Genomic DNA, 23435 nt, shown 5'->3' with positions numbered 1-23435 from the left:
GTCAAAAGGTGAAGCAGAGGACACAAAAACTCTCACTGTACATACTTTGTGGTTGGTGGTCTCTTACTGAAAGAAATACTAGTTGGTTGTTTTGTGAAAACCACAAAAGGGAAAGGCAGCATCACGCTGATATTAGGGGTGAAGGGAGTCTTTCCAAAGGGCTGGTTTCTATTTAACTCTTAGGGAAGGAAGTCTAATGGCTGTTATTATAGGGAGCGGGAACAACGAGGTGGGTTCAACCTCCCATCCGATCTTGTGAAGGCTGGCGACTCACTTTTCAAAGCTTCTCTGGGGTCCCCTTGGCCAAAAGGGGGTCTGTTCAGTTGTTTGGGGAGCTTAAAATTTCATTTTAATTTCTCAAACCAAAAGCAACCTTAGCTATACAAGAAATCCAATACAGTACCCCAAAATGGTTTTAAGCAATGTTAACTATTTGTTATATCCTCCAACATTAACTAATAAACTAGTTACTAGTTCTACAGCCAAGAAACCAAGTATCATTATTATCTAGATAATCCCTGAGGCACTTGTACCAAAAATTATAACCAAAATTGCAACAATTATAATCTTAACGAATAGTAACAAAATAAACCCTTCTCAACTATGTCCACCATCTTAATAAAATAGAATTTATAACAAAAACTTTACCAAAGTGTTTTTTAAAAAATCTATAAATAAAAAGAATGAAAATCACTGAGATGTTTTAATATGTCAAAATGAGAGTGACTAAACAAATCACATGGAAAAACCACTCTTGTTCTCCTATTGGTACGTATGCTTCAATGTGACATCAGTTAATTTTTTATTGCATAATAAACTGTCTCAAAACTTTAAAGCTTAAAACAACAAACATTTATTATTTCACACAATTCTCTAGATCAACTGGAGGTTCATCCAGGCTCAGTGGGTATGACTAATTCTTGTGGTTAGCTGGATCAGCTGAGTCATTTGATGGTGGTAGAAGCTAAATGATCAAGGGCAATAATAGTCCACAAATTCTTCCTTAAAGGGCTAGATAATAAAAATGTTAGGCTTGCAGTGGAGAGCGGGGGATGAGGTCTCTGTAGCAACTATCCAACGCTGCTATTGTAGAGGGAAGCCACAGACAATAAACAAATTAGTGTAGCTGTGTTTCAATAAAATTTTATTTACAAAAACAGGCATAAAACAGTTAATCTGACTTTGCTAAACCCAGGTCTACGATACCCTCCCTCACTCACAAGTCTGATGGTAGGTAGACTGACAGCTTTTAGGGAACTTGGCTAGAATGTCTCGCCTTTGCTCCCTAGTTTCTTACCTTCAAAGAGGCTAACCAGAGGTTCCTGACGTAGTTGTACCACAGATCCAAAAAACAGCAAGTGAAGCCAAGCCCCAATGTGCATGGCTGTCTTGGTTATGTCCATATGCTTGAAGAAACTGAAGTACACAGGAATCCTAGAGTAACATTTTCCTTCTAGTTATAACTAGCACATATTAATATATCTAATTATTTACCAGTGTAGTTAAATATACAGATGAAAGCCAACAAAATAACATTAAAATACTGCCCCATTTTTCTAGAACACTGTCCCATTTTCTAACAACATTTTCATACTTTCTGCACAAACTTATGAAACATAAAAAGGATTTACTTGAGTGAAATATTAACATTTTGCCCATTTAAGTTTAGCAATAAGTGCCTCACAACTGCAATTCCCTAAAATAACCACCTAAAGCTAGATTTAGAAAACATACCTGGGCACAGTGGTTCACGCCTGTAATCCCAGCCCTTTGGAAGGCCAAGGCGGGTGGATCACTTGAGCCCAGGAGTTTGAGACCAGCCTAGGCAACATGGTGAAACTCTGTTTCTACAAAATACACAAAAATTAGCTCTGTGTGGTGGTGTGCATGTGCCTGTGGTCCCAGCTACTCAGGAAGCTGAGGTGGGAGAATCCCTAGAGCCTGAGAGGCAGAGGTTGCAGTGAGCCGAGATCGTACTACTGCACTGCACCTTGGGTGACAGAGTGAGACCCCACTTCAAAAAAGAAAAGAAAAAAAGAGAGAGAGAAGAAAATATACCACCACAAAAATAAAACAGACCCTAATCCAAAATCTAAAATTTAAAATCCAATTTACAGCCTCAAAGGATAAAACAATTGTGACAACTTGATAGATGTACAGAATGTATAATTCTGACTACAAAAAAAAGGGAATTCTATCCTAACCACTAAGTTGTTATTTTTCTTTTATTCTAAGCTATAAAAACAAGATGAGCATTTCCCAATAGCCAAAGACAAAAAAAATTCTATTAAGATACAATCTAAGTTTGTAGAAGTTCGGGTACTTATTGTAAACAAGCAATCTATGTATTAGTTTCACGTTTCCTCTTTCTCTTAAAATATGTGTTCAAAATATTCAAAAGGTATTAACAAAAAGCAAAAGGAAGTTCATAATTCTAGCAGAGAACAAGTTGATTGATTTGAGAGATTAAACAGTTCAATCCATTTGTTTCTAAATACTGAAACAATAGACTAAAGTCCACAGTAATTAAGTCAGTTCCTAAGAAATATGCATTGCCTGATTCACATTTAAGCCTCCAAATTCTTGAATAATGAACTTGTTAAGGGAACTAAATACACACATCTAGTTTCAATAAAGTTGGCAATACCTTAAAATATTCTGCATAAATAATTTTAACCTTAAGCATTAACATTAAGGAAATGATTAGAACCACATTTTTCATAACAAAAGGGCATAATTGACCGTTATTTTATTAGCCTACAATTTGCTTCACCTCTGTTTTCTTAAACCTTTCTAATGGCATATATATCTTGACAACCTCCCACACATGGTTATGATTACGTGTAACAAGACAACAAGCTCATTGAAAACCTTTACAGATGCTTAGCTAATGGGATGTCACATTAAATCTGATATCATATGATTAAAAAACTTTATATCAATTATATTATAAAGAATGACACACTATTTAAAATTGACATTCAAAGATTTCTAAATTATTTCGATAAAAGCACTACATTACTAATATACTTATTTAAGAAACTTTTAAAAGTAAATGTAGACATTACCCAGCTTATCCCCGTCACACAATTTGCCTGTTATCATGTGTCCTTGTGGGGATAGGTGCAAAAAATATGTATAGCTTTCAACATCTTAGATATAGATGCTTCTAACTACAAAACTCTGGTAAATGTCAGAATTGGATTTGACTACTTCTTACTTCCTCTCTTAATGCTTAATGACTAATTCCTTAGAGATGTCCTTAAAAGCCCTAAAATGTTGTCCTTGAGTAGAAACTTTCACCAGCAATCAATCAGGAGCAAATTAGATGATTGTGTTGAAATGTACTACACTGTTTAAGCTAATAAATGAATGAAGAAAGGTAGTATATGGAAACATATGCCACTACACTGAAGTTGCTAAAAGGGTTTGTTGGAAGAATATTTTGTTTCCAGTGGAGCAAATATGGAATAAGAAGAGACAGTGATAAAAGAATACCAAGTCATATGGAAATCCAAATATAGTGACAGACACAATTATTTTACTAATTGCTAATGAATACAGTCAAGTGGCTTCAAAAAGCAAAACTTCGCTTGGACTACTTCAGGTTTTGACCTCTGCACAAGAAAATGCATTTAAGCTGAAGCCCACCAAAATTGATTAACGGCGCCAGCCAAGGCCAGCATGTAGTTGAAGCTTTTTCCATCTATCACATGGCCCCAAGGATAGTTAAATGAACCTTAAAATGGCTACAAACAGCTCAATGACTACACAGAGTCCTGCCAATTAGAAATAATTAGGCAGTCATTTTGGTGGTAAGTCTTTTTAAGTGCATACATAACGATGCAATGATGCTTATTAACGATCTCATATGAGCTATGCTCAAACAGCCTGAAATAATTATGCAACTATCACAAAGCCTTGCTCATCTCTGTACTTCACCTTAATGCATTTAAAAATCCACTTCATTACCTCCAGTAATTAATCCTCCATTAATTGCAGGAAAAGCTCAGTTTACCAAGCTTCATTTCTAATTATCTTATAAATAGTTATGGTTCTAATTAATGTGTTCATTAAGATGAATATCTTTCTCAAAGCCATGCTCAGAGCAAAGGTTCCGCTTATTCTCTCAAAACCCTAACTAGCCATAAGGTGAGGCCATTTTGGTTGCATTTGCTTTTATTTTAGTATACTCAACCTCCTAATTGGCATTTAAAATCTAATTTGGAGAAACTTCAAGAAGGCTATATAGGGAGAAACAGGGACAAAAAGATATTTTCCAACTCTTTTCCAATCAATAATCTTAAAACCTTAATAGGAGAACTTTAGTGCATCTATCTTTTTTTATAAATATTGACTAATATGCTTAAGTACTATATCCAAGTGAATTTAAATTCTATACAAACTTAGCTTTGGCCCCTTCTCTTCAATTAGAAAACAAGACAAGATAAAATATGCTATTAAAACAAATGCATTTAAATTTATATTCAGTTACCTAGCTAAACTGCCACTATAAAACAATTTCTCAATGTAAATTGTCAGCCATCAAAGAGAAAACTTACACATATCCTGGGATCACCAATATTTCACATCATTTTATAAGCATAGCTACCTACATGCTTTTTAAAAACAGAAATATAATTCTGCGCCACAAAGTATACAGCACTTAAACAAAGAAAAAAAACACTGGCTATAATTTAAAAGCTAAAATACAATATAAAATCATTCTTTTTGTAATCATAAATATTTTTATAATTTTGTAGATGTTTAAATAAGTGTATACATAGTTTGGAAGCACAAAAAGTATTCTTAATATTTAAAAAATCAAATTTAATTTTATATGAATAACAAAAACAATTTATTTGGAAAATCAAGTAAAATCTTGTTTTAAAAAAAAAAGAACAGTTATCAGTGTAATAATCCTGGCAGTTAATAATAAAGCTATAGTTCGACATATGATAGATGTCTCCTGCTTCTCTGTAATTTGCGTTTGCTCATTAATCTTCCCTCCTTGTCTTTTTCCATGTAAGATAAGCCTATAGAAGTTTCATTTATGAATTAAAACAAATATATGTGCATTCAACAGGCAAAATTCAGAGAAGAAAGTTTCTTCACAGAGAATTTATAAGTAAAATTTTGAGGATAAATTTTTCTAGACTAGACTTTTAAAATATACTTTACAGAAAACACTGTGGCTTGTGTTCCCACATTTAAATTTCTGATTATAGAGACAGATTCAATAAAATTTGTTAGAAGTACAGATGAAGACTTATAGTAAGGGAAGATCTCATATCTTTTATAGCAACATTCATTCATTCATTCATTTATTCTTCTACGTTCTATTTACTTTTCACGGTGCTGGGAATACAGTGCTGAGTAAGACAAGCACCAGCTCTGACATAATGAAGTTGAGTCTAATCCTTTTAAAGTACAACACTCTTGCTAACATTAAAAAAAAAAAAATTGCTATAAAGGGTAGCAAAGGTAGAAACAGATTGATTTTGGCCATAATTATCAATTATTATAATATGGATGTGTATGATGTACTCCTTGACACTCAGAGTGTAAATGTCCTACTATATCCAAAAGATCCTTGAAAGAAAACATCTTCACCCATCCATCTTTGGAATGCTGAACCAAACACAACACAGGTACCAAGCTGTACTGTTATAACAAAAAAAGTACGTAATTCAGAGAGACATGAATATAAATAGATCTATGAGAACAGTAGTTTTGCTGTACCTATCTTCTAAATTTCAACCTCTTCAATGACACCTGACTTAGTAGCCCAGAGCAGTAATCTTCAAGTCTTGGCTTTGTAACACCCTAAAATGTCTACAGCAACTTCAAAATGGGAATCATTAAATTCTCACCACAAAACATTAACTCACTATCAGTCTTTAAAAATATTATTTCAGGCCACATGAGGTGGCTCACCCCAGTAATGCCAGCATTTTGGGAGGCAGAGGAGGCAGGAGGATCACTTGAAGCCAGGAGTTTGAGACCAGCCTGGCCAACATGGTGAAACCCCATCTCTACTAAAAATATAAAAATTAGCCAGCTATGCTGGCGGTGCCTGTAATCCCAGCTACTAGGGAGGCTGAGGCATGAGAATCACTCGAACCCATGAGATGAAGGTTACAGTGACCTGAGATCACGCCACTGTACTCCAGCCTAGGGGTGCAGGATGAGATTCCATCTCAAAAAAGAAACAAAAAATTATTTCAAGAGGAAAGGGAAAGGAGAGCAAGTGATAACAAAATAACACAATATCCAAAAGATTAGAAATTATTCTTCCTTTTTACCTGGAAGAGTTAACGAATATCATTTCTGTTTCTCCTGAAGAGTTCAAATTTTAGAATACTTAACTTTTCCACTCTCTTCCTTTTTACTGCCCTACTCCTCCCCACAATCCAATCTAAAGAAACAAAGTCAATGAACATCTTCAGTAATACAACAAAGCTTTCTATAATTACCTGACTAATAGCAAAACAATAACGCTGATATCAGCCCCTCAGAATATGTTCTCTTTTTGGTCAAAACAAATTTCCTCCAGGCCCTGTATCAATATTCTTATCCATATAAATGAGCTAGAAGCAATGGTTCCTTACAGGTAATAATATCTGAAAAAAGTAAGCAATGCAAAGGCTTAGATTTTAATAAACCAAGTTAATGAATTTACAGAGTTAACACCCCTCCCAATTTGATTAGGATTTAAATTGAGGTCTAAGTAAAAATGGTGATTATCCTAACTACTCCATTGAATGTTATATTAATTCTTTATCATTACAGATACTAATGACCAAAAAAAAGGAAACCATTAGATACCATTAACATGCTCTTTCCTCCCCCAGTTATTGAAAAAGATGGAAAGTATATACCAGTAGGCCCGACTAAAAAAGTATATTCTTTGAAAAGACTTCCAGAGCTCAGTACAGCGTCAGTTGATGTCATTTAGTCTCCAGGTATTTAAGATATAAAAATCTAAACAGTATCTTTCACAGACATGATTTACTTAGAGTATTTTGAGAAGCCACCCAAAACATTAAACAAAAAAGAAAGCTGTTTATCAGTTGTATTTTCTTTATAAGATCCATCAAGATTTTGGCAGTTTCTATTATTCAGATAAAGTCATTTCTCCCACTCCCACCATAGGCAGAGCTCAGTAAATGGTTATTTCATTACTCCCTACCACGTAGCTAAACACACAAATACATTACATTATATTTTTCTTTTCTTTGTTGAGATGGGGTCTCACTCCGTCACCCAAGCTGGAGTGCAGTGATACGATTTGCTTCACTTCTGTTTTCTTAAACCACTTTTGATAAGAGCTTTTAAAAATTTTGAGCCCCCCCTTGCCTTTTAATTGATGAGATCTTTGATTCATGAATTAATCATCTTTCAGGCATGTTTCTGTTTGTAGCCACACATTTTATTTTATGTATGTATGTATGTATTTTTGAGACATGGTCTCACTTTGTCACCCAGACTGGAGTGCAGTGGCGTGATCTCAGTTCACCATAACCTCTGCCTCCCAGGTTCAAGCGATTCTCCTGCCTCAGCCTCCCAAGTACCTGGGATTACAGGCTTGTGCCGTTACTGCCAGCTAATTTTTTCATTTTTAGTAGAGATGGAGTTTCACCATGTTGGCCAGGCTGGTCTCAAACTCCTGACCTCAAACGATCCACCTGCCTCAGCCTCCCAAAGTGCTGGGATTACAGGCGTGAGCCACAGCACCTGCCCCACACATTTAAAATTAGTATTCTTCCTTGCCCTTGACTTTGAGCTTAGACCCATGATTTGCTTTGGCCAATGAAATGTTGGCAGAAGTGACATTTAGCAGAGGACTTACATTTGCTTAGGAAGTTGGGCTTGTTTTCCTTTTGTCTAAGAAAAACCTGTTTTGAGTAGGGGCTGATCCAAGGAGGATGAAAGAGACAGGAACAGAGCTGATCTCAACACCCAACTTGGAGACAAACCCAAGGAGCCCAGCATAGATCAGAAGAGGCCCAGCTGACTCACAGATGTCTCTGTGAGCAATAAATACTTTTTGTGTGTGCCACTGAGTTTTGAAATGGTTTACTATGCAGCATTATTGTGTCAATAGCTGACTAATATAAAGACATTAGCACTAGAGGGTATTCAGGCTCTGGAACTAGTTAGTCTTCCTGCTCTGCCAAGGGGGAAAAAAAGAGTAAACCTAGTGAACAACAGTGAATAAGCACAAGAACAACTGTTTGAAAGCAGAAGTAGTGTGAATTCCCAGCTCTAGCCATATAAGTAAGAGCAAATTATTTGACCTCTGTAAGTCTGTTTCTTCATCTGTTAAATGAAGGTAATATACAGACTTAGAAAGTTAAGGTGATGCTGACAATCAAATAAAGTAACCTAGGATGATAACATAATTCCACAATTCCTAGCATAGAGTAGATGCTAAAAAAAACTTTAACTTCAATTTTATTTTTCTTCTTGAAGTCAAGCTATTTAAGAAAATTTCCAACACACCATCACAAAATGTTTACTACATGCAAATAAGTAATCCCACTTTTTTAAACTAAACTTCAAAGTAAACACCCATTAAAGTAGTTTTAGAGTAGTTATTTTTATATCAGAAAAGAGCCCTTCCCTTTCTCTCGGATCTTACTAATCACTTTTCTCCTTCCTGGTATAAATCTTGAATTTTCATGACAATTTATTTTTCTACAGGAAAAACAGAATTCTGCTTGTTTAATAGGCACAATTCCCCTATCTTTTCCTTCCCACATTTCTCTATATGTATTCCACCCCTTCCTCAAAAAAGGTAGCAAATAGCTAAGACATCAATATACATTTTCTCCATTTTGGAAGAAAGGGGTAGATTCATCAAATAATACTTATAAAATCATTTGAGTTATTCAGAAGATGTACTATACAAATTAAAACTTAGTAGTAGAAATTTATTTTAAAATTTTTAATAAGTGAATGGCTTGGGGCATTGAAGATTTCTTTAAAAAACAGCGCCTTCAGGAAAGGTCAGAGACACAGACACAATCATTCATCTTAAAAGACTTCAGGGGATGTTTTAATAACTACCTGTGGCAGGATCTCTCTCATATTCATTATAAAATTCCCAAGGCAGATTTTGCCTTCTCATTCATACTCACAAATAAACAAAATGGAGACCCCATCAAATGTAGTGTGAGTAGATACATTTAAACACCAGTTGTTTTTATCAGTGCATTCATTACCACAGTTTGCAATAGAGAGATAAAAGCTTCATAGGACTGAAGCGATCAAACACTCACACACACGCACACACCCACATACATGGCATTAAGCAAAGATAACTGAAGCTATGTGATATTACTTTTAAATGCTTGGGCACAAACAAAATCATGACTGAAAAATGACTAGTAGCTCGTAAGTCAAATAATGATCTCATCAGTAATTTTTTTTAATAGACTGAGGTGAGGCTCAAAATTTTTAAAGCCCTCATCAAAAAAAGTTAAAGAACTATGGAGTGATGAAATAATCATTTAGTGAGCTCTATGTAAGCTTTTCTATTCAAAACACTCTCAAATGCAGTGGCTCTATTTCTACTCCCTTCTATCTACAAAATGTTATTTTCATTTGAGTTCTACTACTCATCTCCCTGCAAAACACCCAAAATGCAACCTAATTGGGTTTTCAGGGCTTGAATGTGATACTGTCATTTGTCTTCTTTATCTATGAAATGGGGATAAATCATAACTCCCACAAAGTTATGCAAACAAAGGAGCAAACAAAAAATGCATGTGAAAGCATATTTTGTAAAGTATAAAGGGCTATACTAATAATATTCCTATAATCATCTTTTTGGTTTTCATATTCTTCTGATGACTCTTATTTCAAAAGTCCCTTTGGTGAATGGCCATCACATTCTGTTCTGGAATTCTCTAGGACACTTCCAATTTGCCTCAGTGGCTACTCCTTACTTTCATAGTTTTGCAGCACATCTCAACCACTAATCTAGAACTGGTGACTGGTTGTGAACTTTTACCCCACATGAATCCTTCCTTTGTATCACTCTAACTTAAGACAGTCAGTCTCTGAACACTAGCTTCACATCCTAGAATCTCAGGCCAGGCCAGCCAAACTACACTGTTCCTTACTGGACAAGAGAGGGTCTCTGGGCAGTTACTCCTCTATACTCAACATTCTTGGTTGGGAAATAAGAACAAAAAGTAGAAAAGACAGCATCACTTGAAAGGCTTTTGAGGCTATTTTTTGTGAGGAAAAACACTATTTCTTTTTTTTTTTTTTTTTGAGACAGAGTCTCACTCTGTTGCCAAGGCTGGAGTGCAGTGGTACGATCACGGCTTACTGCAACCTCTACCTCCCAGGTTCAAGTAATTCTCTTGCCTCAGCCTCCCGAGTAGCTGAGATTACAGGCACAGGCCACCAGGCCTGGCAATTTTTGTATTTTTAGTGGAGATGGGGTTTCACCATGTTGGCCAGGCTAGTCTCAAACTCCTGACCTCAAGTGATCCACCTGCCTCAGCCTCCCAAAGTGCTGGGATTACAGGCATGAGCCACTATGCCCAGCCAACACTCCTATTTCTAAAGAGACAAAAAACACTCTAAGGCTCTGAGAAATTCTCATCCATGTTTGTTTCTCATTTCCAGAGTTTTGCTACCCCATAGTGAAGGTGGGGGAAAAGACAATTTCATGTGGACTACTCCAAGAGAGAAAAAAATTGTGGCAGAAGAAATGCAGATAGTTCGCTGTCTTAGATAAACTTGTTAGAAATGTTTAAAATAGAATATGATTTTTAAAAATATATAATTATAATATCCCTCAGTATACACACAGTAATAGTTCCACAACCGCCAGTGCATGACCAAATCCGCACATACTCAAGTCCCACAGTCAGCCCTGACACATCTACATATACGAAGTCAGCCCTCCATATACTGTGTTTTCCATCCATGTTTGAAAAAAAACTGTTGTAAGTGAACTCACATAGCTCAAACCCATGTTGTTCAAGAGTCAACTGTGTTTGAAGGCACAGCTGTAGATTTATGCACCAAGTATTAGTTAACTGCTACATGGAAAGCAAAAGTAAGATTACATATAGCACTTTATCAAGGTTTGTACATATTTCAAAACTCATTAATTGAACATACTATTCATAAATATTCTACAAATTAATATTTCTGGAAGCTTGCTTGAGCCTGTCAGAAGATAAGCTTTTGCCTTATTTTTGTGTAAATAGTAACAGTTAAAAAAAATCAGTAAAACCAAAGCGACAGTAATCCAAAAGGGACTGTCACTTGCTCTTTTTTTTTTAGACAGAGTTTTGCTATTGTTGCCCAGGGTGGGGTGCAATGGTGTGATCTCAGATCATCACAACCTCCACCTCCGGGGTTCAAGCTATTCTCCTGCCTCAGCCTCCCGAGTAGCTGGGATTACAGGCATGTGCCACCATGCCCGGCTAATTTTGTATTTTTAGTAGACATGGGGTTTCTCCATGTTGGTCAGGCTGGTCTCAAACTCCCGACCTCAGGTGATCCGCCTGCCTTGGCCTCCCAAAGTGCTGGGATTACAGCACTTGCTCTTCATTGTTCCTCAAGTAGTGGGAAAGACAATCTACAGAGCAGTTATGACCTTGCCAGAACCTCGGGGTCTCTGAATAGAAAGATCTATTCTGATCCAATCCAGTTCTCCCTCTGATAAGACTGATCAGAAAAGGCAGGGATTACTCTACCAACACCAAAGACATTTAACTGTCATAATCCCAAACTCTGAATCATGATCTCAGAAGAGGGCTCGAGCCAGATATTCCTACGTTTCTCTTCAAAAATCCTAGTTCCACTCTGTTTGCTGTGAGTCCTCGATACAGTTGTAAGACTCAGTTTCCTCATCAGGAAATAATGATTCTAAACCTATCCCACTGAATTGCTGTAAGGATTAAATAAAAAGAATACATGTTAAACATTCTCTATTAATGTCTGGCCCTTAGTATGTACTAGATTAATCATTGGCATGTATTGTTACTATTATTATTTTAATTCAATGTTAACAAAGTTTCAGTTTATCCAGTATTTCTTCACTTTTACAACTCTGCTGGATCCCTCATAAAGCTGCAACAATAACAGAGAAAAGCTAGAGACATCTAACCCTTTTTAAAAGTGCTGTTTGCTAAATAACGTACAGGCATATCTCTTTTTACTTTACTCTGCTTTATTGCCCTTTGCAGATATTGTGACTTTTACAAATTGAAGGTTTGTGGCAACTCTGAGTCAAACAAGTGTATTAGTGCCACTTTTCCAACAGCATGTGCTCACTTAGTGTCTCTGTGTTACATTTTGGTTAGTCTCACAATACTTCAAACTTTTTCATTATTATTGTATCTGTTATAGTGATCTGTGATCAGTGATTCCCAGTGTTACTACTCTAATTATTTTCAGCTGCCAAGAACTGCATCCATATAAGACAGTGAACTTAAATAGATGTGTGTGTTCTGAGTGCTCCCCCAACCAACTGTTCCCATCTCTGTTTCTCTCCTATGGGCCTCCCTATTCTCTGGAATACAACGATATTGAAATTTAGGCCAGTTAATAACCCTTCAATGGCCTCTAAGTATTCAAGTGAAAAGAACAGTCATACATCTCTCACTTTAAATCAAAAGCTAGAAATGATTAAGCTTTGCAAGGAAGGCATATCAAAAGCCAAAAAAGACCAAGAGCTAGGCCTCTTGCACTGAAAAGTTAGCTAACTTGTTAATGCGAAGGAAAAGTTCTCAAAAAATATTAAAAGTACTATTCCAGTGAACACATAAATGATAAGAAAATGAAATAGCCTTATTACTGACAGCAAGAAAATCTGAGTGGGCTGAATAGAAGATCAAACCAGCCATAACATTCCCTTGAGCGAAAGCCTAATCCAGAGCAAGACCCTAATTCTCTTCAATTCTATAAAAGCTAAAAGAGGTGAGAAAGCTACAAAAGAAAAGTTTGAAGCTAGCAGAGGTTAGTTCATGAGGTTTAAGAAAAGAACTCATCTCCATAACATTAAAGTACAAGGTGAAGCAGTACGTGCTGATAGAGGACCTGCAGCAAGTAATCCAGAAGATACAGCTAAGATAACTGATGAAGGTGGCTATGCTAAACAACAGATTTTCAATGCAGACAAAACAGCCTCCATAGGAAGAAGGTGTCATCTGGGTCTTATAGGTAGAGAGGAGAAGTCAATGCCTGGCTACAAAGCTTCAAAGGACAGGCAGACTCTTTTATTAGGAGTTAACCCACCTGGCGACTTTAAAAGGAAGCCAATGCTCATTTCCCATTTTGAAAATCCTAGGGCTCTTAAGAATTATGCTAAATCTACTCTGCCTGTGCTCTATAAATAAAACAACAAAGCCTGGATGATAGCATGTAAGTTTACAACATGGTTTGCTGAATGTTTTAAGCTCACTGTTGAGACCTACTGCTCAGAAAAAATAATTCCTTTAAAAATAATGGCTGGGTGTGGTGGCTCATGCCTGTAATCCTAGCACTTTGGGAGGTCAAGGTGGGCAGACTGCTTGAGCTCAGTAGTTTGAGATCAGCTTGGGCAACATGGTGAAACCCAATCTCTACAAAAAATACAAAAAAAAAAAAAAAAGTAGCTAGGCTTGGTGGTGCATTCCTGTAGTCCCACCTACTTGAGAGGGTGAGGTGGGATCACTTCAGCCTGAGAGGTAGAGGCTGCAGGGAGCCGAGATCATGCCACTGCCCTAGAGCCTGGGTGACAAAGTGAGACCCTGTCTAAAAATATAAAATAAAATAAAATATAGTTCACTGACAATGTATCTAGTCACCCAAGAGCTCTGATGGAGATGTACAAGGAGATTAATATTGTTTCCATGTCTGCTAACACCACATTCATTCTGTAGTCCCTGAATCAAGGAGTAATTTTGACTTTCAAGTGTTACTATTTAAGAAATACATTTTGTAAGGCTATAGCTGCCATAGATAGTGACTTCTCTGATGAATCTGGGCAAAGTAAATCGAAAACCTTCTGGAAAAAATTCACCATTCTAGATGCCATTAAGAACATTTCTGATTCACAGGAGGAAGTCAAAATAGCAAAATTAACAGGAGTATGGAAGAAGTTGACTCCAAGACCCTTATGTGTGACTGTGAGGAAGAAGACTTCAGTGGAGGAAGTCATTGCAGGTGTGGTGGCAATAACAAAACAAAACAAAACAAAAAACAGAATTAGAAGTGGAGCCTGAAGATGTGACTGAATGGATTCAATTTCATGATCAAATGTGAACAAATGAAGAGTTGCTTCTTATGGATGAGCAAAAAAGTGGTTTCTTGAGATAGAATCCACTGCTGGTGAAGATGCTGTAAATACTGCTGAAATCACGGCAAAGGATTTAAATGTTACATAAACTTAGTTGATAAAGCAGCAGCAGGGTTTGAGAAGACTGACTCTAATTTTGAAAGAAGTTCTGGCCGGGCGCAGTGGCTCACGCCTGTAATCGAGCACTTTGGAAGGCAGAGGTGGGCGGATCATGAGGTCAAGAGATCGAGACCATCCTGGCCAACATGGTGAAAACCTGTCTCTACTAAAAATACAAAAATTAGCTGGGCATGGTGGCATGAGCCTGTAGTCCCAGCTACTCAGGAGGCTGAGACAGGAGAATTGCTTGAACCCGGGAGGCAGAGGTTGCAGTGAGCCGAGATCACACCACTGCACTCCAGACTAGGTGACAGAGTGAGACTCCCTCTCAAAAAAAAAAAAAAGTTCTATGATCGGTAAAATACTAGACAACAGCATCAATTGCTACAGAGAAATCTTTCATTTAAAAAAGGGTCAATCAATGTAGCAAACTTTATTGTTGTCTTATTTTAAATTGCCACCGCCACCCCAACCTTCAGCAACCGCCACCATGATCAGTGGGCAGCCATCAACATCAAGGCAAGACCCTCACCAGCAAAAAGATTATGACTCACCGAAGGCTCAAATGATCATTAGCATTTTTAAGCAATAAGGTATTTTTAAATTAAGGTATGTACATTGTTTTTTAAACACAATGCTATTACATACTTAACAGACTATGGTATAGAGTAAACATAACTTCTATATGCACTGGGAAACAAAAAAATTCATATGACTTGCTTTATTGCAATATTCACCTTCTTGTGGTGGTGTGGATACAAACCTGCAATATCTCTGAGGTATAGCTGTCCAGTCAAGGATTCAGGTTGTTTTAAATTTGGAGTTTTATTGGGGAAATATCTAAAGAAGAATGGAAAGCTATATTTTCACATTTTGCATACATGTATCCCAGTCTCATAATTATCCTGGGATTTCTCATCATATAAATTTACTCTACCTAAGATCACATACCACATGAGCAACAGACAAAGAGAAGTTTTATATACCAATAACAATCAAGACTCTCAAAAACAAGCTCCTCAATCCAAAAAGACAATCTTGGTTCACAAACTTTACAGTATAGGTTCGACACAGTGAACATAATTATGCTAGAGGTATTCGGCTTTCCTTAAACATCACACCTATTCAGATGCTGGTCAAACTCAACCTTTCTTAGATTGTAAGATCCAACAAGATCAAAGACCAACGGGGCATGACTACCAAGTAACTCCACCATCTATTTATCCTTAATACAGTGCTTTCTGAAATCATGTCTTCTAGCTTTATGGCAACCTCAAGGAAACTCTTAAAATCACTTATTAAGTTACAGCATTACCCTGCAACACAATACCATGCCACATTGTCATTCTTTAGTTACAGCAGAAACATTGTGGCTAGCAAGAGACTGTGGAGTTTCCCTGATGTTTTATTTAAGAATGAAAAATTTTAAAATAGTTCAAGAAAAGAAGCAGAAAATAACCAATAAATAGGGGGGTGGGAATTGCCTCTACTGGCAACTCTACAAGAAGAGAGTTCCATACCCATCCTCAAGTGTCTCCAAAGAGAAAGAGTTGCAGATCACTTTGATGGTTAAGAGAATCTCTAGAAGAGGCACTTAAGTAACTGACACAAGATTTAAGCTACATAGTTAGTAGCAAATAAGCAAATGTGACTGAGAATTTGCTCAGTCAATACAAATACAGAAGGTATAGGGAGAAAGTTGCTTTAAAAAGGACAGAAAGGGTTGCCCAGAGGTAGGTTGTCTGGAAAACTCCACCTGCTTTCCTCAGGACTTTACTATACCTGAGAAATTTACAGAGCATTTAGTTCCTAGATACATATAGTGCCCACTTAGGCATCTTTACATTTATTATTCTAAACTTTCCAAGTGTTAGGGTTATTAGATCTACTAAGATCATAATTAAAAGATGTCCTATAAAATGGCTTTTAAGCCTAAGATAAAACATGTACAATAATCAAATACAACAGAAGCCAAATACTCATTCAAATGTGAAATCAGCTCCTCAGTTAAAACTAAAAGTCATATTATTAAACGTGAAACTACAAGACTACAGGATCAATTTTTAATTCACATCTCATTTACTTCTGGGAAGAAGAAATAAATTTAGAAGATAATATGTACTCACATGTATCTCACTTTAGGCAACAGACACGAACTGGAAACATTGAGTAATCAAACATTTATATACCAAATTAACTCCTACACAAATTCTGAGATGAATTCATTCCAAGAGAATACTGATGGGAAGAACAATATCAACTTTATTGGTACAGCTTTTATTATTTTCAAAATACTTTCACAAAATATAATATGATCTTTACATCAATTCTGTGAAAAAGACAGAGGAGACATTTAATTCCAGTCACTTACTGAACAGTTACTAAGTGCCAGCCAAGAGCTAGCCACTAGTGATACTACTGGAATGACTAACATCCTGCTTGGCCCAGGACTGAAGAGTTTCTTGGGACATGGAACTTTCAGTGCTAAAACAAAGTCCCCGGCAAGCCAAGATGGTTGGTCACCCTAGCAAAAATCAATACGGCACAGACACTGTCCTCAAGGAGCTCACTATTTAATATTATGATTCCCTAAAACTGAAGTTCAGCTAAGTTCAATTATTTGCCTAAGGTCAAACAGCTAATAAGAGAAACAGAGTCCAGAGAAACCAGGTCTTCCAACTCCTACTTTATACTCGTCTCCTATATTATTCAATATCTGAAAAAAAAAAACATTTTGCCCATAAGATATGATTTTTAATTTTTATAAGTACAGAAAATTAAATATACAAATACACTAGACAGAGATTTAATACCTCAAGCCATAATCAAAGGCTCTAACTTATCTATCACACTTAAAAAGAACCTAACAAGTTTCATTTTACTCTACAATATTAAATATATGTTACATAGTTAAATCATAATGCCAAGGACTTTTGTGAGGTTTCTTATACTACCCTAGTATATTTTAATTAACATTCATTCATTGAGCAATACTTGTACAGTATTTACTGTACAGTATTTACTGACTACATATAATGACACTGTGTCCTCCCAGAACTTTTTGCATGCCTAAAAGGGTAGCATTTACATATCAGAAGCATAATCATGTTCATATATGTTTTCTCACTAGATTTTAAGAATACTGGTTCTGCATTCACACCGCGCAGCACAGGACCTACCACCTAGTTGGCATTTATTTGATGGCATTCAGGACATATGTACTTGGGCAGGACACACTCCCCCAAAACATTTTAAGCTGAACATATCTGGGAAAAACAAAGAAGCTGGAAAGGCAGCCTCTGTTCTCCCTCTTCCCCTTCTCCCCTGAAGTAGGTCATGAACACTACAAAAGCTTTCTGACCTAGTCAGGAAGCAAGTCGCAAGATCCTCACTGAAGAGGTGCCCTCCATATCCCCAAAAGAAAGAAACATCCTAATCTTTGAAGACACAAAGTCACAGAGTAGAATCTGAACAAACAGGCCTTGCTAAATTCCCCCCAGCTGACTAACATTAGATCACACTTTTTTATCCAATCATGCTTCACGATTATCCACTTCCTCATCAAGCCCAGCATAAAATATACACAGATTTACCCCTTTCTTCATGTCTTCATTTCCTTATGAAGGCTCCTGTGTCACTTTATTTATTATAGTAAATAAATCTGTATGCTTCTCTCTTGTTAATCTGTCTTTTGTTGCAGGGGCCTCCGCCATGCACCTGGCAATGCGTGAGAAAAAGATATTTTTTCTCCCCTACACATTCAAAGGATAAATATAAGGTATATGGGCAATATCAAGTAAAATACTCATAGGGAATATATAATTTAGTTAGAGATGTACATAAATAACCTCACTGAAGTAATGGCAAATCTGACTGGTATAGGTTATGAAGTTACCAGGAATTTAAAAGAGAAAGAAGATGAATTCCTTACAAAGAATCCTATGCCCAAATAATATCTTACACAGAACCCTAACATACAAGAAAATTAGATATAGATCTGTTCCAGTTAAAGCACCCCTCGCTCCCAAACAAAAGAAAAACTCATGGCAGTCCCGGAAGCACCTCCACAGATTTCCAAAACTCCACAGATTAAAGATCAATTCTAGCTCCAAAATACTTCCCAAAATGCTTTCCCACTCCAACTACCAAGCTAAGCCAAGGAACAACCCTCTCTTATAGTCTCTTACATATCATCCTAATTGATATCAAGACCTACTACTGTCCCTAACACATAATATTAATATAAGCTCAATAAATATTGTGTGAAATGGAAAAAAACACAACCAGACAGCTTATTAAATGAAGATCTTCATTTCAATTAGCAAATAATATTACTATATTTAGAACATTTCAATTTCTTATAGTCTTTGCTGTTCCAAATAATGTTCACCATTTTTAGAAACTGTGTTCAAGTCAGAAATACTCAGCTTTGTGATTTCCCCCAAATACAAAGTAAATCCAACCCTTTTCTTTGGTTTTATGCTATGGGGACAAAGGCAAATAACAAACATAATCTTATACTGGTGCAATAAATGGACCCACCTTAATTAAAAGGATGTCTAAAATAACTGGCAAGTCTAACAGTTATGATTCAATTAAAAACTTTCAGCCTTTAATCTATCATATCCTTTAAACAGCACTAGCAGTTGGCAAGAGCAATTCAGCATTACAACTTGGTCCTTTACAACTTTTCCCTGCTTTTTCTACAATGAATGATAAAATTAACCAAAAACCTTTTGGAACAAAAAAGTTTACATAAGAGAAGACCCTTAAAACAGGCTTTTAATTTGAAAATAAAATGTTAACAGAGATGTAGAATATTAAAGATAAACACCACAGAAATCCTCTTTATCTTCAGTGCATTTTAATGAGAATAAAACATTTCCTAAAAGTTACTGAACTTGAAAAACAAAATTGTGTTACAGGGTTATGCTGTCACTCAGTTGAGTGCTTTCAGAGTTCCCTTGAGGTTGCCAGAACAATAGGAACATGATTTTTCAAAGTGCTGTATTAGGAATAAATAGACATGGTAGTTACTTGATAGCCATGCCCCCTTGGTCTTTGATCCTGATGGGTTTTACAATCTAAGAAAGGTTGGTTTCAACCAGAGTTGGAATAGGTATAATGTTTAAGGAAATCTGAATACCTATAGCATCATGTTCACTATGTTGAACCTATACCTAATTTTCTCAAATAATTTACCCTCTTCCCTCCAAATATATTTTACCCTCAAATACGAATAAGTGAATGTGCATGTATTCACCTTTAAGAATTTCATTTCCTTTTATAGTCTGTTCACTTAGACCATCGCATCTGCAACAAGCATGCCATTCCCACATCCCCTATCAAGCTCTACAACCAAGATATAGCCTAGTCACGCGTGACCAAACCAGATGGGAATACCTGATCTTAAGGCAGGCAGTCCACAGCTGGCCAGCAACCCTTGATATAGCTCATCCCATATAAGAATTATTAGTTGAGTCAATCAGATTCCCTCACTCAGGAATGTAAAGTGGGATATACTGAGAAAATGATGCAGTTAGAAGAAAGAACTAAAGCTAAAATAGAAATATCAAAGGAGCTTTGATGATCATTCAGTATGCTCAACTATAAACACTTAAGAGTAAAAAGAAACTATAAAGAAAAGATAAACTGTACTCAGTAGTAGGTAAAGAAGCTATAAAGTAGTAAACCGAAAGTACAGCAAATACATAAAAGCATACATTTGTGACTGGGCGCAGTGGCTCACGCCTGTAATCCCAGCACTTTGGAAGGCTGAGGTGGGTGGATCACCTGAGGTCAGGAGTTCGAGACCAGCCTGACCAACATGGTGAAACCCCGTCTCTATTAAAAGTACAAAAATTAGCCAGGCGTGGCGGCATGTGCCTGTAATCTCAGCTACTCGGGAGGCTGAGGTAGGAGACTCACTTGAACCTGGGAGGTGGAGGCTGCAGTGAGCCGAGATCGCGCCATTGCACTCTAGCCTGGGCAATAAGAGTGAAACTCCATCTCAAAAAAAAAAAAAAGTATATATTCGTATACAAATGTATAAAGTAGCTGAGGCAATCCAGTTCTGCAGAACTAGAATGAAATACCGTCTTTTTTTATTTTTTATTTTTTGCTTTTCTTTCTTAACTCTTCCCTCAGCAGAATCAACTCACAAACACCTTGTTGCTAAGGGCTCCTAGAGAATAAACAACTGATTAAAAGATGAGTTTATGACATTCAAAACTTGGCAAAGTAGTTAGTAACCCCAATTTACAGATGAATAAACAAGCCCAGAGAGAAGTCAAAATACATGGTTCTAAGTCATGAAAAAGGGATTGAAATCCAGGTCCTGTGACTCCTAATCTAACACTATTGATATCTTACTGTACTGTTTCTCTGAGTCATGTCTAAGGCTTCCAGTTACACCTCATGTGCCGCATACACACACACACACACACGCACACACACACACACCTTTTAAGAACAAATTTGGATCTTGCACATTTTATGAGGAGAATGATCAAATTGCTTCTCCAACCCAACTGAACATTCCAATGACCCCATACAATTATTGATACATGTTTACCAATAGTCTTACATGCACCAAACAAGAAGAGCTACAAAGGGGACAGATAAAGGGAAATACATAGGAAGCATATCATTTACTCTTTTTAAAAAAGTTCCTGGGGTTTATAATCCCAGATAATAGGTAAGTATACATCAATTACCTGTACCACGTTTAATAGTAACAATATCTCAAAGCTATTCAAGTTGTTCCACGGACCAGTGCTAGTCCACAAACTAGTACAGTTCACGATGGGATAAAGAAATTAAGAATAAGAGTTTAGAAAATTTTATAGTTATTGGACACAACTATAACATTTTTATTGCATTTTTAAAAATATTAGTCTGCAATGGATTGAAAATATAGAGTTTAAAAAAAGTCCTTTACCACAGATAATTTGAGAAGCACTGCTAGACTACATAAACAGAATTAGTATGATTCCCTACACAGCCAGATTATAATATGAGAATTTCTCCTATTGTTCAACTAAATGTATACTTCTAAAACGTACACTTTTGAATTTGGAAAAAAATTTGAACAAACCAATAATGTAGTAGGAAACTGGGATACCATTCAGGAAATACTTTTTAAATTTGTTTTTGGAGGCTGATTATTGTACATGACTTAACCACATGAAAAAATAATCTATTTTCTGTTTTCTTCTAGGTTACAAAAAAATGAAAACTGCTACTTTGAGGTCAAAGATAAATTTAAAGTTAGGTTTTTTGAAAAATAAAAAAAAAAGAAAATTTATTAAAGATATGGAACATAGATTTCCTGAAGTATGACAATGGCTTAAATGTGGAGATAGGTAAATACAAAAACATGAGTTGATGGCCAGAAGATGAGTACCAAAACATCAAAATAATGATGGAATTGTAGTCCCAGCTACTCAGGAGGTTGAGATGAGAGGATCAATTGAGCCCAGGTGGTCAAGGTTGCAGTGAGCTGTGACTGCACCACTGCATTCAAACCTGGGTGACAGAGCAAGATGCTGTCTCACACATGGAAAAAAATAATAATGGCATTATGTGATATAAGAAAATTTCCTTTTAGCGGGTAGAGATTTAAAGTGAAGTACACATTTGTAAAATAACACAGTGTCCCATTTTGCTTTGAAATACATCAGCAAAAAAAAAAAAAAAAAAAAAAAAAAAGGCAGAAAAGCAGAAGAAAGAAAAGGAAGAAGATGGAGAGGGAGGGGGAGGCAGCAGCACTACCACCAGCAACAGCAGCAGCACAAGCAGCCATGGGGAAAATCTTGGTAACTGTTCAATCTAGGTACTGTGTATATATTGTATTTCTTCTCTTGAGTATGTTTGAAATTTTCTTAATAAAAAAGCCAATCTTAGCTAGAAATATTTCTATTTCTGTGGATAAATTCCTCGACACATACACCCTCCCAAGACTAAACCAGGAAGAAGCTAAATCTCTGAATAGACCAATAACAGGCTCTGAAATTGAGGCAATAATTAATAGCTTACCAACCAAAAACAGTCCAGGACCAGATGGATTCACAGCTGAATTCTACCAGAGGTACAAGGAGGAGCTGGTACCATTCCTTCTGAAACTATTCCAATCAATAGAAAAAGAGGGAATCCTGCCTAACTCATTTTATGAGGCCAGCATCATCCTGATACCAAAGCCTGGCAGAGACACAACAAAAAAAGAGAATTTTAGACCTATATCCCTGATGTACATTGACACAAAAATCCTCAATAAAATACTGGCAAACCGAACCCAGCAGCACATCAAAAAGCTTATCCACCATGATCAAGTAGGCTTCATCCCTGGGATGCAAGGCTGGTTCAACATACGCAAATCAATAAACGTAATCCAGCATATAAACAGAACCAATGACAAAAACCACATGATTATCTCAATAGATGCAGAAAAGGCCTTCGACAAAATTCAACAGCCCTTCATGCTAAAAACTCTCAATAAATTAGATATTGATGGGACGTATCTCAAAATAATAAGAGCTATTAATGACAAACCCACAGCCAATATCATACTGAATGGGCAAGAACTGGAAGCATTCCCTTTGAAAACTGGCACAAGACAGGGAGGCCCTCTCTCACCACTCCTATTCAACATAGTGTTGGAAGTTCTGACCAGGGCAATCAGGCAGGAGAAAGGAATAAAGGGTATTCAATTAGGAAAAGAGAAGTCAAATTCTCCCTGTTTGCAGATGACATGATTGTATATCCAGAAAACCCCATCATCTCAGCCCAAAATCTCCTTAAGCTGATAAGCAACTTCAGCAAAGTCTCAGGATACAAAATCAATGTGCAAACATCACAAGCATTCTTATACACCAATAACAGACAAACAGAGAGCCACATGAGTGAACTCCCATTCACAATTGCTTCAAAGAGAATAAAATACCTAGGAATCCAACTTACAAGGGATGTGAAGGACCTCTTCAAGGAGAGCTACAAATCACTGCTCAACGAAATAAAAGAGGATACA

General features: G+C 36.5%; 1 protein-coding gene across 6 annotated transcripts in view, besides 2 other annotated features; it reads right to left on the bottom strand.

Moving 5' to 3' along the window:
• The window catches only part of RSRC1 (arginine and serine rich coiled-coil 1), a 435642-nt gene that overhangs the window by 376508 nt on the left and 35699 nt on the right, over positions 1–23435 (bottom strand). The window lies entirely within an intron of this gene.
• Positions 3049–4709: an enhancer, noted in NCBI's record as "VISTA enhancer hs636". NCBI's record gives its function as "enhancer in: forebrain[7/11] | limb[4/11]" and the evidence as "EXISTENCE:transgenic organism evidence [ECO:0001131][PMID:17130149]".
• Positions 3397–3597: a silencer, noted in NCBI's record as "peak4878 fragment used in MPRA reporter construct". NCBI's record gives its function as "represses an SCP1 promoter by STARR-seq MPRAs in K562 erythroleukemia cells {active_cell/tissue: K562}" and the evidence as "EXISTENCE:reporter gene assay evidence [ECO:0000049][PMID:32103011]".

The sequence above is a fragment of the Homo sapiens genome, chromosome 3 (assembly GCF_000001405.40).
Source record: "Homo sapiens chromosome 3, GRCh38.p14 Primary Assembly".
NCBI classification, from domain to species: domain Eukaryota; kingdom Metazoa; phylum Chordata; class Mammalia; order Primates; family Hominidae; genus Homo; species Homo sapiens.
Note: the sequence above shows the minus strand (reverse complement) of the source record. Positions and strands in the feature narration are given on the sequence as shown.